Source organism: Homo sapiens, chromosome 3 (assembly GCF_000001405.40).
Source record: "Homo sapiens chromosome 3, GRCh38.p14 Primary Assembly".
In the NCBI taxonomy this organism is placed as follows: domain Eukaryota; kingdom Metazoa; phylum Chordata; class Mammalia; order Primates; family Hominidae; genus Homo; species Homo sapiens.
The window spans coordinates 142,528,361-142,545,119 of NC_000003.12; the positions used below are offsets into that span (position 1 = coordinate 142,528,361).

Consider the following 16,759-nt stretch of genomic DNA (forward strand, 5'->3'; position numbering starts at 1 on the left):
ATCAAGGTGGCTGGTGTGTTATTTGGAGCATATTCATAACTATTAAATCTTCCTTATGAATTATGGCATTAAGCATTAAAAAGTATCCATTTTGGTCATATTTAATGCTTTTCAGCTTCAGTTCTATTTTGTTTGGTGGCAGAATGAGAATTCCTGCTTTCTTATACTTTCCACTTATCTGGATAATTTTTGCTTATCCCTTTATTTTTGGCCTTTCTGAATCACTTTAGGTACGTATCTTGCATGTGGTAGAGAGTTGTTTCTTACTTTGTAAGCCAATTTGTAAATTTTTTAATTTTAAGGTTGTTCACACTTATTAATGTGACTCAGATGCTTGGCTACAATTCTGTCAGATTTTTTATTATAATACAATGGATTATAATTATAATACAGTATACTATAATTAGTGCTTTCTTCCCTCTATCCTGTTTCGTGTTTAAAAAATCATTTATTTGGGTAAGGATGACAGTTTATACTTTTGTTCTGGAATTATCATATATATATATATATATATATATATTTTTTTTTTTTTTTTTTTTTTGAGGCAGAGTCTCACTGTGTCACCCAGGCTGGAGTGCAGTGGCGCAATCTCGGCTCACTGCAACCTCTGCCTCCCGGGTTCAAGCGATTCTCCTGCTTCAGCCTCCTGAGCAGCTGGGATTACAGGTGCGCCATCATGCCTGGTTAATTTTTGTATTTTTAGTAGAGACAGCGTTTCACCATGTTGGTCAGGCTGGTCTTGAACTCCTGACCTCGTGATCTGCCTGCCTTGGCCTCCCAAAGTGCTGGGATTACAGGCGTGAGCTACCGTGCCCAGCCTATCCAATATATTAATACCTTTAATATTAATTAAAGGTGAAATATTATTTACCTTAAAGGTAAAATAAAAATTAAGGTAATTTTTTGAAATACCTACACTCCCTCTTTTCCTTATTTGACTTTCTATAACTAGTTTGCCGGTGTAAAATGGTATATTTTGACTTCCAGTTATTGCCTATGCAACAATTACTGAGCTTATCTTACTTACTCCTTACTCTCCCCCTTCTCTCATTTAAAAAAATTGCATTATTTCTAGTTTATTAGAATATAACATTTACATATAATTATCCCACACTTGCCCTATTGTTGTTTTAGTCTTATATATTTCGTTAAATACATAAACAGTAACCATCAGACCTTTTGCCAAAGTCTGCCCAGTCATCTCTTGACTTAATGAAGCTCATCCTCTAATACATCTCTTAGGAAGGGATCACTTGTGAAAACCATATTACTTCAATTCTTGTAGGTTTAAAACCGTGTTCTCATACATGATACTCTAAGGACAGCTTGACTCTTTCTTGACTCATACTTTATGACATTTTTTGACATTTTAAAAAAATGCTGCTATTTTCTAGGCCCACTCTGTACATTCCTACTGAGAATTCTGATACCAATCTACTTTTTTTTCTCCTTGCAAGTAATTTTTTGAAAAAAAATTTTTTGGCCAGGAAGCTTTGAAGACTTTTTATTATTAAAGTCTAGGATATGTCTCAGAGTTAATTATCCTGGGTCAATTTTCTCCAGGATACAAGTCTTTTCAATATGTAGATTAGGTCTTTTATTTCCAGAAAGCTTTCTTGGATTATAATTTTAAATATTAATTCTGTTCTCTTGTTTTGGTTTTATTCTTCAGAGACATCAATTATTTGCAGGTGAAATCTTTGCCAATCTTCCATTTCAACTACTTTTTCTTTTTACTCCTTTTTACTCCTTTATCTATTTTACTCCTTTATCTCATTTTTCTTCTGTTTTTTATACCTTTATTCAATGCCCCTTGCTAAATGTTTAGTCAAATATATTCTCCCCTGTAGTTCTTGTAATTTAATCTTCATTTCAATTTCTTTCCTAAGTTCAATCACCCTCGTTTCATCTTGGTTTTTATTTCTCTTGTTTTTTAAATTTTTCATGCAACTTTTTTTATATCTGAAAATGATTGTTTAAAATATTCAATTAAAGTTATACTGCTAAGTTCAATCTTCTTCCATGTTATGGTTGGTTTTGAGGAGGAACTGTCATCAATTCACAGACTTTATTTTCATTTTCTATTTTTGTCTTACAGGAACCTTGCATACATATATTTTTTCTACACATATTGTGAAATTTCTAAACTAGAAAACCCTCCATAACAGCTATCTGCAGTAAGCATTCTGTAGTGGCTTCAGGATTTCTCTTTCATGAGTATCCACGTCAGCATAGTGAAGTGCAGTTTTCTTCATGAATAGCTTTTTTTTCTTTTTCTGGTAGCAGGGGGAGGATTTGGTTCATCTCTGATTTTGTACATTTCTTTTACTTCTGCAGGACCCTTAAAATTCTCCCTCTTACTTTCTTCTTTCTGTTTATGCCATAGTCTCTGAAGAGTGCCTCTCCTCTCCTCTTCTTTTACTACTCCCAAGAAACTGATTTTCAGAGACTACAAACGTTGGGCATACTTTCAAGTACCTTCCCTGTAGCCAGTAGTCTGACATACCACATCCTGGACTTATTTTCAGTAATGTTGCACTTAAGAGTATGACTCTCTTTCTGTTGGTGATTTTCTCTTTGCTCCATCAATTCTTAGTTCCTATTCTTCATTTTCTTCTTTTTTTATACAGTCTCATCAGAACGTACCCGCTCTCAACACCATACAAGGTTAAGATATGAGCTCCACAGATATCTCTGTTAGTTACAAGTAATTTGAAGTTCATAATATTCTGTCTCAAAGTTCTGTTGAAGGTGTAAATTATGTGTGGTTTCAATTGCTCTGCTTGACACTCTTTATGATATTTCAGGGGCTACACAGAAATTCAGATGTAGGCATCCACCATTATCCTAAGACAACCTGAAAGTCTCTAGCAGTTTTATTTTATTTTATTTTATTTTATTTTTATTATTATACTTTAAGTTTTAGGGTACTTGTACACAACGTGCAGGTTTGTTACATATGTATACATGTGCCATGTTGGTGTGCTGCACCCATTAACTCGTCATTTAACATTAGGTATATCTCCTAATGCTATCCCTCCCCCAGCCCCTCACCCCACAACAGGCCCCAGTGTGTGATGTTCCCCTTCCTGTGTCCATGTGTTCTCATTGTTCAATTCCCACCAATGAGTGAGAACATGCGGTGTTTCGTTTTTTGTCCTTGAAATAGTTTGCTGAGAATGATGGTTTCCAGCTTCATCCATGTCCCTACAAAGGACATGAACTCATCCTTTTTTATGGCTGCATAGTATTCCATGGGGTATATGTGCCACATTTTCTTAATTCAGTCTATCATTCTTGGACATTTGGGTTGGTTCCAAGTCTTTGCTATTGTGAATAGTGCTGCAATAAACATATGTGTGCATGTGTCTTTATAGCAGCATGTTTTATAATCCTTTGGGTATATACCCAGTAATGGGATGGCTGGGTCAAATGGTATTTCTAGTTCTAGATCCCTGAGGAATCGCCACACTGACTTCCACAATGGTTGAACTAGTTTACAGTCCCACCAACAGTGTAAAAGTGTTCCTATTTCCCCACATCCTCTCCAGCACCTGTTGTTTCCTGACTTTTTAATGATCACCATTCTAACTGGTGTGAGATGGTATCTCATTGTGGTTTTGATTTGCATTTCTCTGATGGCCAGTGAGGATGAGCATTTTTTCATGTGTTTTTTGGCTGCATAAATGTCTTCTTTTGAGAAGTGCCCTGCTTCGGCTCATGCTCGGTGGGCTGCACCCACTGTCCTGCACCCACTGTCTGACACTCCCCAGTGAGATGAACCCGGTACCTCAGTTGGAAATGCAGAAATCACCCATCTTCTGCGTCACTCACGCTGGGAGCTGTAGACTGGAGCTGTTCCTATTTGGCCATCTTGGCTCCACCTCCCAGTTTTATTTTCAATAGCCTCTTCTCTTATGTGTAAACGTTAGTAAATGTCATTTTATTAGAATTCTGCATTGCCATAAAAGTTTATTTTGGCTTCTTACAAAGTTATCTTTTTGGGATTTTATCAAATGGATTCCTGACTAGTATCAATCTTCAGAAACCAATTATATGGTTTCTTAATTTGATCTCTAGTCTGACTTTTCTACATAGAAATCATTTTCTGCCATCCACTGAGCTTAGAAGTCTTCTATTCCTTCAAAAATATATATTCCTCCTTAAAAATAAGTAGAAGGTGTCATCTCTTCAATGTCAATGACTGTCTGGGACTACCCATCAGTACAGGGCTTTTGCAGGGTCATTCCATAAAAAATAGTTAAGTATCTAATGCTATACCAGCGATCATCTTATTAACTTTCCTATCACCACCTCTTGGAATTTGCTTTGTTGCTACATTACACCCAATCATTTGTTTAGCCACTCCTACCACAACTTCAGGTGTATTTTTAAATAAAAACCTCCTTTCAATCCACTCTTAAAGTATCTTTTCCTCTCCCTGTGGCTAAATTTTAAATTCTAAAACAGAATCTTTTGCATCTGTTGTCTCATGGACTCTTAAGAGTACTGACTACAAAGACTCTGGCCTCTCATCCTCTTATCTTATGCCAGTTTCATGCTCTGGTGGTATTCCTGTAGGTTCAACCAACTTGTAGAGCTGCACTGTCCAATACAATAGCTACTATCCACATGTGGCTATTTAAATTTAAATTAGGCCAGGTAGAGTGGCTCACACCTGTAATACCAGTACTCCCAGAGGCCCAGGCAAGGGGACTGCATGAGGCCAGGAGTTCAAGACCAGCCTGGGCAACATAGCAAGACCCCATCTCTTAAAAAAAAAAATTAGGTGAGCATGGTGGCACACACCTGTAATCTTAGCTACTCAGGAGGCTGAAGTGGGAGAATTGCTTGAGCCCAGGAGTTTCAGGCTGCAGGGAGCTATCATCACACCCCTGTACTGGAGAGACCCTGCCTCTAAAAGTAAATAAGTAAATAAATTTAAATTAGCAAAATTAAATAGAATTAAAAATTCTGTTACTCAGAACATAATGTTTGAGCATATATTTCAAGTGCTCAAGAGAGCCACATGTGGCTAGTGGCTACTGCTGAAGAGTATAGATATAGAATATTTTCATCCTCACAGAAAGGTCCTTTGGACAGTACTATTGGAAGTCTTAATTCAATTGTATTCAACTTTAATGCTATCTTCTTGCCACAGTTGGGAAAAAACCCATTTCCTTCTCTCTTTATTCCTAGGTGTTTTGGGCCAGTGCCTGCTGGAGTATGGTTAGGAAGACGTGTTTCTGGATCTTTATTCTTTTCTTACCTCCTCATGGATCTTCCAATCTTCCTTGCCTTTAGTTTTTCTTACCAGCCTGCCATAAATTTATCCAGTTATAGATGCTAAACTACATTAAATACTTACTTTAAAAAAATCCCATAATAATATACGGCTATTATATCTTAATCAGAGTACTCAAGACTCCTACAAGTACACTTCCCTTCTTATTCTGTCTAGGTAATCTATTAGCATTGGGGCTTTACATTGAAGGAATCCTGTAAGGAAGTTGCCACATATGATTTATCTTCTGTGATCCAGGAGGCAAAGTGAGGCAGCTGCAGCTTTCCTTAAGACTGTAAGAAATCTTCTTGAATTCTCAGATTTAGTTATTTATATCTAGGAAGTGATGATTGAGGTGAAGTTTCCTTATGTTAGACAATGACTGTGCCATCTGCTTGGAAATAACCTAAACTAGAAAACCTCTATGCAAAGAGGAGAAAACCTTTGTGATTCATAAATCTCTGTATTAAATTAAAAGGCTAAAAGTCCTTTGAGTTACCTGAAAACCAGGTAAAGGTATGGGGCTAGGGGCAAGCACAGGGTAGTTTCATTGTAGTTTAGAGCAGGAATAGAGGCTGTAACGTTGATAATGCACATCTATAGTCAGGAAGGCACAACACTTAACCTAGAGGAGATTCAAGGCTCCTCCCCTCTGTTGGGATCATCTCCACACTGGCTGCTACCCACATTGGTTATACAAACTCACTGCCCCAGAAAAATGTGCTCATTACCATCACGTATATCTTTTGTCCTAAGTAAGTGCTTGCTTCTATTAATGGAAGGAAATATAACCCTTCCATTATAGAATGGTAATCCCAAAATTCATGAGGGTCTTAGGCTCTCATATCTTACCATATGGGTTCTAGATATGCAAAAATGAGTAATTCCGTTAAATTTTTTCCAATTTATTCATATACAGTGATCTGGTATTTTAAATACCAGTTCTCACTATCATCAAGTTTAGGGATAATCTACATTATGTTGCCAAAGAAAAGAATAAAGTTCACTCACCCCTTGAAAAAGTAAACTTAAAGATTTAGCTTCATTAAAACTAACGTTAATTCAGTCAAAATGTACAATAGTAAAATTGCTGACATTTCATATGACATATATCCATAGGAAATATGTGAGAAGACTTACATAAACTGCTGCTGTATTATACAATTATATACATGTTTACTTACGAAGATGCAGTAACCTAAAATATAACCATCAAATCATGATCCTTCAAAAACAACAAAAACTGCAAATCCCTAAGATTCAAGCTCAAAGGGCATCTCATGGATTCCTAATTCTCAGTCAGATCTGATAATTCAGGTAAAATAAAAATTTCTTCTTTCACTAAATCTCAAACAAAAATGTCATTTTGTCATCTTTTCTTTAAGCCTCCAATCTTTCTTTGTTATACATTTTTAATTATATCATATTAGCATACCTGATTTTTATACAAGGTTTCCTTCAAGCTTGTAAGAGCATGAATACGAACATCGACATTTTCATGTTGAATGGCCTTCATAGAGAGCTGAAGAGTTGTCTGAAGATCAGTGCTCTCAGAGGTCTCCTATATACAAAGCACAGAGAGACAGAACTTATTAATCAACTATTTTAACAACCATTTCCAAAGGCCTGAATTCTCTATATAGTTACCATTAAACTATACCAAACCAATTTTTTAAAGTAATGAAATTTCCATTCCTTCCTTTGTACAGCACAAATCATTTTTAGTAATTCTGAGGGAAAGGGATTTCATTGTAAAACTGTTAGACCTGGAGAAAAATTTTATCCCAACTAAGTAAGAATTTACTTCTCTAAAATAAGTACTTCTTGACAGGAAGTACAAGTTTCCCTTAATTTACAAAGGGCTACATAATAGCTTTGAACCAGGTCTATGGATTATATAGGTAATTCAATTCCTTTCACTACCCAAGGTGACACCTAAGGTCAGGTGTCCCACTTTCTACCCAGAAGTTCTATGAAATCACCACTAACATCTTCATAATTTTAGAGAGCTCACTAAGATTTAAGATGCTGGAATTATAAATTATTCCCCTTCTAAATCTCAGGAATCATTCACATCTGACATTTCTATATCATGGTTTGTAGCACAACAAAACTAGAATCATCCCACAGCTTTCCTTTCTTCTCTTAGGGTGTGCCGCTGTGGTAGCGCTTCTTTTTGGGACAATAAGTAAGGACACTTTGGTCTGGGTAGTAAAGGCATAAGAATTGTATTTTTTGCTCTCTGTTCTATCTAATGGTGTTACATATTTAATCTAAATGCTAAAACTTCCCTCCAAAAGTCATGGATTCATGGTAGCATTATCTACTCACCAGGAATTAGCTATCAGAATAGGACTATATTATCCCTAGATATGATCCTAAAGGATCTTTATTTCATGTATTGGAACTTGGGAACAATTCTGTATTAATGATCTCCTAAACCACAAATTAAAAATTAAATACCTTTCTGTATTCCTGGAGAACGGCTTTTATCTTTTTTAATTCTGGATGATCAGGTAAAAAATATATTTCATGAAGAAAATCTTGCACAGCATCCCTAATAGTTAGTTGGAATAAAAAGAATTATTTGCCAAGAATATGAATACTAAAAAAATGTAAAGTAAAAGTTGAAACTAAGGCCAATTTAATTCATAATTAAAAGTGCTAGTTGATTACTGAGCTGCAAAGTATTTTCTAACTATGTCTAAGATGCTCAGCTAAATTATTAGTGGAAAATGACCAAAGCTATGAAAATCACTCTATAATAGTGCTACAATAAACCATGCTTCTCAGCATACAAACCCATATATACAGTCCCTTCCTCTTCAAGCTGGGCTGAGTGTGTGACTTGCTTTAGCAAATAGACTGTGGCAGAAGATATACTGTGCCAATTTGGGGCCTGTTAAAAATGCCTGCAAGTTTCCATTTGTGTGTTCTGGAGAGCCCTGAGTCACTACGTAAGAAGTGTTGCCACCAACATGGACAGACCGTGGTACAGAGAGACAGACTGTGAGACTACACGGAATGAGAGAGGGCCCAGCCCAGTCTACCTGCCCCCTGAATGTGGCCACATCAGTGACCACTTGTAAGACCAGTAGAACTGACCAGCTGAGCACAGTCCAGATTGCAAAATTATGAGCAAATAAAAATGCTCATTGTTTTAAGATACTAGGTTTTGGAGTGATTTGGAATGTAGCAATAGACAGACAAAGACTACCTCAATATACAAATTATCATGAAGAATTATAGAAAAAAATACATAAATAATCCTTGTCAGGGCTATAATTTTTAATTTCCTTCTAATATAATAAATGCTCTAATCTTTCTGGGTCCAAATATAAGCATTTCTAAATCCTAGTCTTCATTAACTCATGCAATAAATATATATTAAATAACTACTATGTGCTACTACATGCTAAGCACTCTGCTAGTCACTGGGGATGGAACAATAAACAAAGCCAAAGTAGTGCCTTCATTCAGCAAGCTTAAGGTCTTCTATCTTGCAGCATGATCATAACTCACTGCAGCCTCAAACTCCTGGGTTCAAACAATCTTCCTGCCTCAGCCTGCAGTAGCTAGGATTACAGGCTCTTTTTGCTTTTTTTTTTTTAAATGTTTCTGTATTTTTTGTAGAGATGAGGTTCTCACTATGTTGCCCAGGCTCCTGGCCTCAAGCAATCCTCCAGCCTTGTCCTCCCAAAGTATTGGTATTGTTGGCATGAGCCACCATGCCTGGTCAGGATTTTTCTTATGATTATGAGAAAGGTAGAGAAATGACACTTCTGCAATAAACAGCAAAGACATGACTATGTACAAAAAAATTTAAAAGGTACTTGAAAAGTAGTCCCAAAATCTAAATTAGTGATTTTGTTGTTTTATCATGCACAAAATATAAAAATATCAAAAATAAAAGTATTTTAACTAAATAAAAACACATTAACTTTTCCTTCTTCTATGATTTCTCCCTCATTAGACAGTTACTGCAACTGACTAAAGGGACCAGCAATAGCATATGGGTGAGTAGGTAAATAAGTAGTACTTCAATCCCAACTTTTCACAAGCAAAGGAATGATTATATACAACATTAAGTAAAATCACAGAAAAAAAATTAAATATATAAAAAGACATCCCAGTCTAAAAAGCAGCCTGAATCAAAAATACAAATGGGAAAGAATAATGCATGTTCTGTCAATAGTAATCCACACTGGCTATAGCCTAATGCCTGTTTTGAAAAATTATGGGGGAAGATAGTAAGAAATAGTCTGTGGCCACATTTTTAGAAAGCCTTCAATATCAAGCTAAGCAATTTGGAATTTATCAATTAGGAAATGGAGAATCTCAGAATGCCTTTGTATGCTGGAATGACACCAATAAAGAGATATTTTTAAAACACAGTTCTAGTAACAATATCAAGAAAAGTGATGAAAGCTTAAAGGAAGAGAGGCTGGTTCAAAGCTTAACGCAATGAGGTAATAAGGGTTTCAACTAAGGTAAGCTGCAGAAAGTAGGTATCTCTCCTAACCTTTCTCATGCTATTCAACTATCTGCCTTTTGACTGTGAAAAGAAAGGTAAATTAGGTTACACATTTACAGAATTAATGAAAAGTAATTTTTAACTGGTGACCTATTAGTGAGCTTTGGAAATAATTATAATAGAAGCAATGCCACAACTGAAATAGCATCATTTCAATATGTAATTACATGCCAATTACTTTTGTTTATTGATAAACCCTGAAATTCAAAAAAGTGACAGTTTCCACATTACCATCAGTAATTTTGAGACATAAAAATACAGTTTAAAAAGTTATTATTTTACTATTAATTTCAGTTACAATACCTGTTTTCAATTATGAGGTAGTGGAAGATAGCTGCAGTTTCTTTAGGCTGGATGTGTATAAGAGGTAACAAAGCTACTATTACATGACTGAGAAGGGAGCCCAGACAAGCATGATCCAGGCAGCGAACAAAGCAGTCCCAAGCTCTATGTGAAAAAACAAATAGAAATGAAGTCCAATTACTTTTATTATTTGTAAAGCTCTATCAATCAGTAATTAGTTGAAGACACATGATATATACAAACAATAGATTAAAAGGCAGCTTTAAACATGGAATAAAGATCAGTGCTATATATTCAAATAAAGTGATGTCCAAATTATGTGAAGTCAAAAAAGCAAGGTGAAAAACAGTGTTTGGGGCAGAATTAATAATAAAAAAAAAGTATGTGTGTGTGCATTTACTTATTCTTTTACAGAGGGTGGATATACAAAAATTAATAAAAATAGATATCTGTAGAGGTCGAAATTGGAATCTAGATTTCTGACTATAATTTGTTACACAGATTTGAATTTGGGACTATGCAAATGTTTTATATAACTTTTAAATTAAATAAAATAGAGGGAAAAAGCAACCCTTAAAAGTTTTAAAGAAACTGAAACAAGTGAACCTAACTAAATGTTAAATTGGTAGCACATGCACACAGAAAATAAGTACTTCACGTGATTCTAAAACCTATTCTTTATAAAAATTTTCTAGTAGCTACATTCACTTAAGACTTAGAAGCAATGACAGTAGGCCCAAAGAGTGCCTATGCTTGGAATTAATCTGGGCTCAAAGGAACCAGAGCCAGGTTTCCTTGAAGAAATCACTAATTTTGAGTCAGAGGCAGGAAATGTTCAAGATAAGCCCAGGTCATCTTGTCATGCCAGAAAGCAGAGAATCTATAAGAGATTAATAGAGGTCATATCAAAACTCATAGATGCCAACTTGAAGGGATTTCTACTTGCTTAAGATGGGACAATTTCAGCAATAAAAAAGGATAGTGACTTTAATGGATAAAAAATAATCAAACTTATAAAAATCTACGTTATCAAAATGATATTAAAAAAACTTCACTGGAGGTTGCTACAGCACAAACCTATATTCCTAAATTGATTAACTAAAGGGAAATATTCAAGTATTTATGAACTGCTTTATATGAACTATGGTTGTTTTGCTTTTAAAGACAAGGTCCTGCTATGTTGCCCAGGCTAGACTCAAACTCCTGGCCTCAAATGATCCTTCCACCTCAGCTTCCTAAGCAGCTGGGACTACAGATACGCACAATCATGCCCGGCTAGCCAAATTTTATGAGGAATTTTGTTTTAAGAAGAATCCCACCTAGTAAATACAGAAGGAATAATAAAATTAGAAAATCATTATTTCATCAACTGCAATGAAATAATGGACTTAGGCAATGATCATTAATTAATGCTAAAATCATCAGATGAAAGATTAGTGGGGAATTTTATAATAAAGGGATTCAGGTTGATAAAACCTACTGTCTAATCTTACCATTACTAAAAGTGGACAACCAGATATTATTATGTGGCTCATACTGTGCCACAAGAGAAGCACAAAGCCTCACCTATGAGGTATGTTATCATAATAAATTGAACCTAAATCTAATCAAGCATCTATATCTAAGTACCCATTTATAGAAAAGACAGGGAGGAAAGAAAAAATAGAGGGAAAAGTTAAATTAGCTATTCGCCAAATCCAACATCCTAAAATCTTAACAGCCTAAAATAAGTAAAATGTGTGAGTAGAGAATTTAAGGGATGAGGCTGTTTACAAGAGACACTTAAGGAGCCAGGCAACCAAATACACATATGTAAACTTCATTTATAGTCTAATTCAAGAAACTATGATACATACAAACATCTCTGGAAAAACATCTCTGATACATACAAACATCTCTGGTCATATACAACATAATATATACAATGTCTTTGGGAAAAATACCTTTGAGACAACTGGAGGAAATGTGACTAAGGACTGAGTTTTAGATTAGATATTTCTATTAATCCTGCTAAGTATAATAATTCATGAAGGTTATTTTTTAAATGTCCTCATCCGTTAGATACATCTAAAGTATTTACAAGCACAATGATAAGATTCTGGGATCTTCTCTAAAATACCCCAACCAACAATCAAAAAGGTAGAAGTGGATTAAAAAAAACTAGCAATGTTGATAACTGCTAAAGTTGGGAAATAGGTATGTAGGTTCATTGATAACTCTTCTATTTCCCAGTATGTTAAAAGACTTCCATAGTAAAATGTTTTAAAAGAAGTAAATATGTTCTATTTTAAATACAAATAAATAGTCTTTCTACCTTATTTATTATTTGAACCCAATTTCCCTCAAAGAGATAAGAATTCAAGTTAGTGCTACTGGAAAATGCAAAAAAAAAAAAAATTAATAAACTCAGGCAGTCATTTACCTGCAACACAATTCAGGAAAATCATCCTTGAATCGAAGGCCAGTTCTCAGTGTGGTCATCATCTTCACCCTCACAGAACTGACATGTTTGGGTCCCATTAACTTCATCAAAGACATCAAACTGTTCAAGGCCTATAGAGTTAAGTAGTGCTTCAGAGTAAAGCTTATAAACATGCTGCCAGAAGCAGATGAGCCCTAAGGACAAGTGCTTCCCACCCAGTATCAGGGTGTCATCTATTCTCAGATAATACAAAAGATTGAATAAATGTTGGCCAGTTTGTTTTGTCCAATTGCTTATGTCTTATGTGGTAATTATAAATTTGAAAAATACAAGTTGAGTTCTTTTTTGTTTTTTCCCTTGAAGGTGATTTGTTATTTTAGCCCAGTATTCATCTAGAACAGTACAATTTCTAATTTATTAAAGGTATAATGCATATTGTTTAATTTCTTTCATATCTATCCCAAACTGCCATACACATATATAAAACAAACTGAATTAAAATCATTTAAATTTGAGACCATATAACAATTTTTGTAGTAAATGGAATACTTCCTAGTAATCAGTAGTTAAGGAAATTTTTGTCCTAATGATATTAAATTCAAGATGTCCTGAATTTAGTAAAACAAATAATTAATGATACACTCAGAAAATGAAACACATGAAAAACACAGAACCAGACCTGTTATCAGCAGCTCCAGTTTATAATGAAGGGGTAAAGAAACTCTGGTCGACTTTATATGCCAAAACATTTTAGTTATTTATGGTTTACAAGACAAACTGTAGTTTTCTTAGATTCAAGGTGATTCTCTCCCTTAGAATAGCAATTGGGGAAACAATAGGAAAGAAGCCATGTAGATGGAATAGTAGTTGGTTGGGGGATTGAATTTACTAGTTGACACCAAAAGAACAGGCATTGGTTGCTGAAATTTGCAAAATTTAATATGGTAACATATGTCTTTCTTGGCTCCTTAATAAAAAAAAAAGGAGGGGAGAGTATACACTGAAATAAAAGCTTCCATTCGTAGGTGTTTTTTGTTTGTTTTTATTGTAATCTTACTGACTGCAGAGGTGGAAAGCAACAGAAAGAGAAATTTTATCAATATCTAAAATTTTACTCCAATTTATAGGACGAAAATTTCCAACGGTGGCCAACTGTTGCAGCAGTCATAATGAAACTTCACTGTGGCACAAGCATTTAAACATAAAGTTGCTTTACATTATAATAACCTAAGATTTCTGGTGTTCAAAAACACCATGAGCCATGACCCACACCAGACCAATCTAAACCAAGGAGACTCAATGATGCAACTTTTGTTTGAGCTTTCAGTGATTGCTAGTCTCTCTCTTCAAATGCTGGACTAGATGTTGTGATGACGTGAGCTTGAAGCCATTGAGGTCATTAACTGGCTCTTAAGTACAGAGCCAACCCAGATGAATCTGAGCCAAAAGACTGACTCTGAGAACTTTTTTGAGTCCAAAATCAAGTTATGCCTAAAGCTACATCATCCTTACGCTTTTAGTAACACAGCCACAAGTTCCTTTTAGTCACTTTGGGTTGGGTGTTCTATCCCTCCTAAACTAAAGAAATGAAACGAATACAATTCCAATTTTTAGACTCCCAAAAAACGTATATGAGTTCTTCAGCAATAGAGAATGTCATATTTGGTTATTTCTCATCTTTGAATGTTTGTAGCTAGATGCAGAATTTATCTATATTCTGTATGAATTCTATCTTAGCACTCTGGAACTATCACCACTTACCATTTTCTTATCTTCAATGCCAACACTAGAGCTCAGTAACTGCATGTTAAAAAAAGCCAAAATGCCCAACAATTTGGGTTGTAAATAATCAGCCTAAGAAATAAAAACAGATAATATGTAAGCTTTATACAGATTGAATTTCTTAAGTTGACATTTTAATTATTTAATTAATGTCATTTATATTTTACCTAACTAGATTAGCATATTAGAAATAAACACTTGGTTAATTAAGTTTCTCCAAAAGCATATATCTTCACATGTAGTATTTAAAGAAACATGTAGTATTTAAAGGAATGATTTATAGTCACCACGAAAAAATATGATTAAACAGTACAGTACAATGAGAAAATGATGAGTTTTTTAATCATGGAGTGAACTGGGGTGGGATCCTCAGGATCTAATTCATGTCGGGATGTGGGGTGGAGAGGAAAAGAAGAAAGAAAAGAATAGAGAAAGACAAGGGACTGCCCTTATTCTATGACATTTAGAGCTATGGTAGAAAAGTACGATTAAGGAAAAGGTATTCTACCAGAATAATGATCTGACATAGGGGATAATATCCCTGGAAGTAACAGGGGAAAAGAGGCACAAGACCATGGGCATCAAAAGTTGCAGACTAGATATCATCATCCATGACGCTTTAGGTTTCCTGAAGTAAACAGAGTTCCTTCCTTAGTTCCTTCCTTCCTTCCTTCCTCCCTCCGTCCCTCTTTTCCTCCCTCCCTCCGTCCATCCCTTCTTCCTCCCTCCTTTCCTCCCTCCCTCCGTCCGTCCTTTCTTCCTCCCTCCTTTCCTCCCTCCCTCCTTCCCTTCCATTCCTCCCTCCTTTGCTTCCTTCCTCCCTCTTTCTCTTTCTTTCTTCCTCTTTTACTTAAACAGGGTTCCTTCCTTCCTTCCTCCCTCCCTCCCTCTTTCTTTTTCTTTCTTTCCTCCTCTTTTTTCTTAGAGTTCCTTCCTTCCTTTCTATTTCTTTCTTTCCTCCTTTCTCTCTCTTTTTTCTTTTCTCTCCTCTTCTTTTCTTCCTCTCTCGACAGGGTCTCTGTCACCTAGGCTGAAGTGTAGTGGCACAATCACGACTCACTGCAGCCTCAACCTCCTAGACTCAAGCAATCCTCCCAGCTCAGCCTCCTGAGTACCTGTGACTACAGGCACGCACCACCTCGCCCAGCTAATTTTTTGTATTTTTTGTAGAGATGGAGTTTCGCCATGTTGCCCAGGCTGGTCTCAAACTCCTGGGCTCAAGCAATCCTCCTGCTTTGGCCTCTCAGAGTGCTGGGATTTCAGGTGTAAGCCACTGTGCTCGGCCAAGTTAATACTTTCTTAAGAGAAGGTCCTGGAGGAGAGGGCATGGGCTTTAAGTCAGCCAAATCTAGGTTTGAATCTTAATTTTGACACTTCCTAATGTGTGATCTTCTATAAGTTACTTAATTCTTCCAAGTTTGTAAAATGTGAATAATAAAACCACCTACTGCATAGAGTTGTTGTAAAGGCTAAATAAGATACCATTTATTGGCTAGGTGTGGTGGCTCACGCCTATAATCCCAGCAATTTGGGAGGCTGAGGCAGGTGGATTACATGAGCTCAGAAGTTTGAGACCAGCCTGGGTAACATGGCAAAACCCCATCTCTACAAAAAAAATTAGCCAAGCATGGTGGCATGCACCTGTGGTCCCAGCTACTCAGGAGGCTGAGGTGGGAAGATTGCTTAAGCGCTGGAGGCAGAGGTTGCAGTGGGCTGAGATTGCACCACTGCAGTCCAGCCTGGGTGACAGAGCAAAATCCTGCCTCCAAAAAAAAAAAAAAAAAAAAAAAAAAAAGATACCATTCACTAAGAACTTAGTATATAGCTAAGTATTAAATCAATTTGTTCATATTACTACAAACTGAGAATGTGACCAGTCTGTAAAGAAGAATATTCTTTTGTTTCATGTCTTTATGTACAGGCAGAAGAAAGGAGCAAAAAAAAAAAAAAAAAAAAATGAGCTGGGAATGAGTAGCAACTAAAGCATTTTGAACTCCATAAGAAAGTTGCACTGCTTGATGTTGAGGCATCTGATTTAGGTATCTTCAGGTTCCATGCATTACCAAGAAAAGGGTAGGAGGGTGTGTGCTACCATATAATAGAGAGGAGTGAGGTATCCTACAAGTCTCTCCAGATTAGATGTCAGGATAAATCTTTATCTTGCCTAGCACAGGAAATCATCTGGTTTTTAAAATCTAAAATTGCATTTTGTTCTGCAAACTTCTGATTTAGGTTGAGACTCAACTTTGGCATGGTAAGCCACAATTCACTAATTGTATGGTTCTAGCCTATGTTGCTTAAATAAAAAGCAGATAAGGATCACACAATCTCTGTCAACATTCCAATATTAAAGTTCTTGCACTCAGACAAACAATTATTTGACTTTATCTACCTACCAATATATTATCTATCACCAAATACTTATTATGTATGC

General features: G+C 35.7%; 1 protein-coding gene and 1 pseudogene across 9 annotated transcripts in view; both read right to left on the reverse strand.

Moving 5' to 3' along the window:
• Window positions 1-16,759, reverse strand: part of ATR (ATR checkpoint kinase) — a 129,499-nt gene that overhangs the window by 79,126 nt on the left and 33,614 nt on the right. For all 9 annotated transcript variants that reach the window (NM_001354579.2, XM_011512925.2, NM_001184.4 and 6 more), the window contains 5 exons: window positions 14,305-14,397; window positions 12,544-12,674; window positions 10,122-10,265; window positions 7,748-7,841; window positions 6,720-6,845 (listed from right to left, as the gene is read on the reverse strand). In NM_001354579.2, coding sequence (NP_001341508.1) covers window positions 6,720-6,845; window positions 7,748-7,841; window positions 10,122-10,265; window positions 12,544-12,674; window positions 14,305-14,397 — 588 coding nt within the window. The remainder of the gene's footprint in view (window positions 1-6,719; window positions 6,846-7,747; window positions 7,842-10,121; window positions 10,266-12,543; window positions 12,675-14,304; window positions 14,398-16,759) is intronic.
• Window positions 3,887-4,608, reverse strand: SUCLG2P1 (SUCLG2 pseudogene 1; annotated as a pseudogene).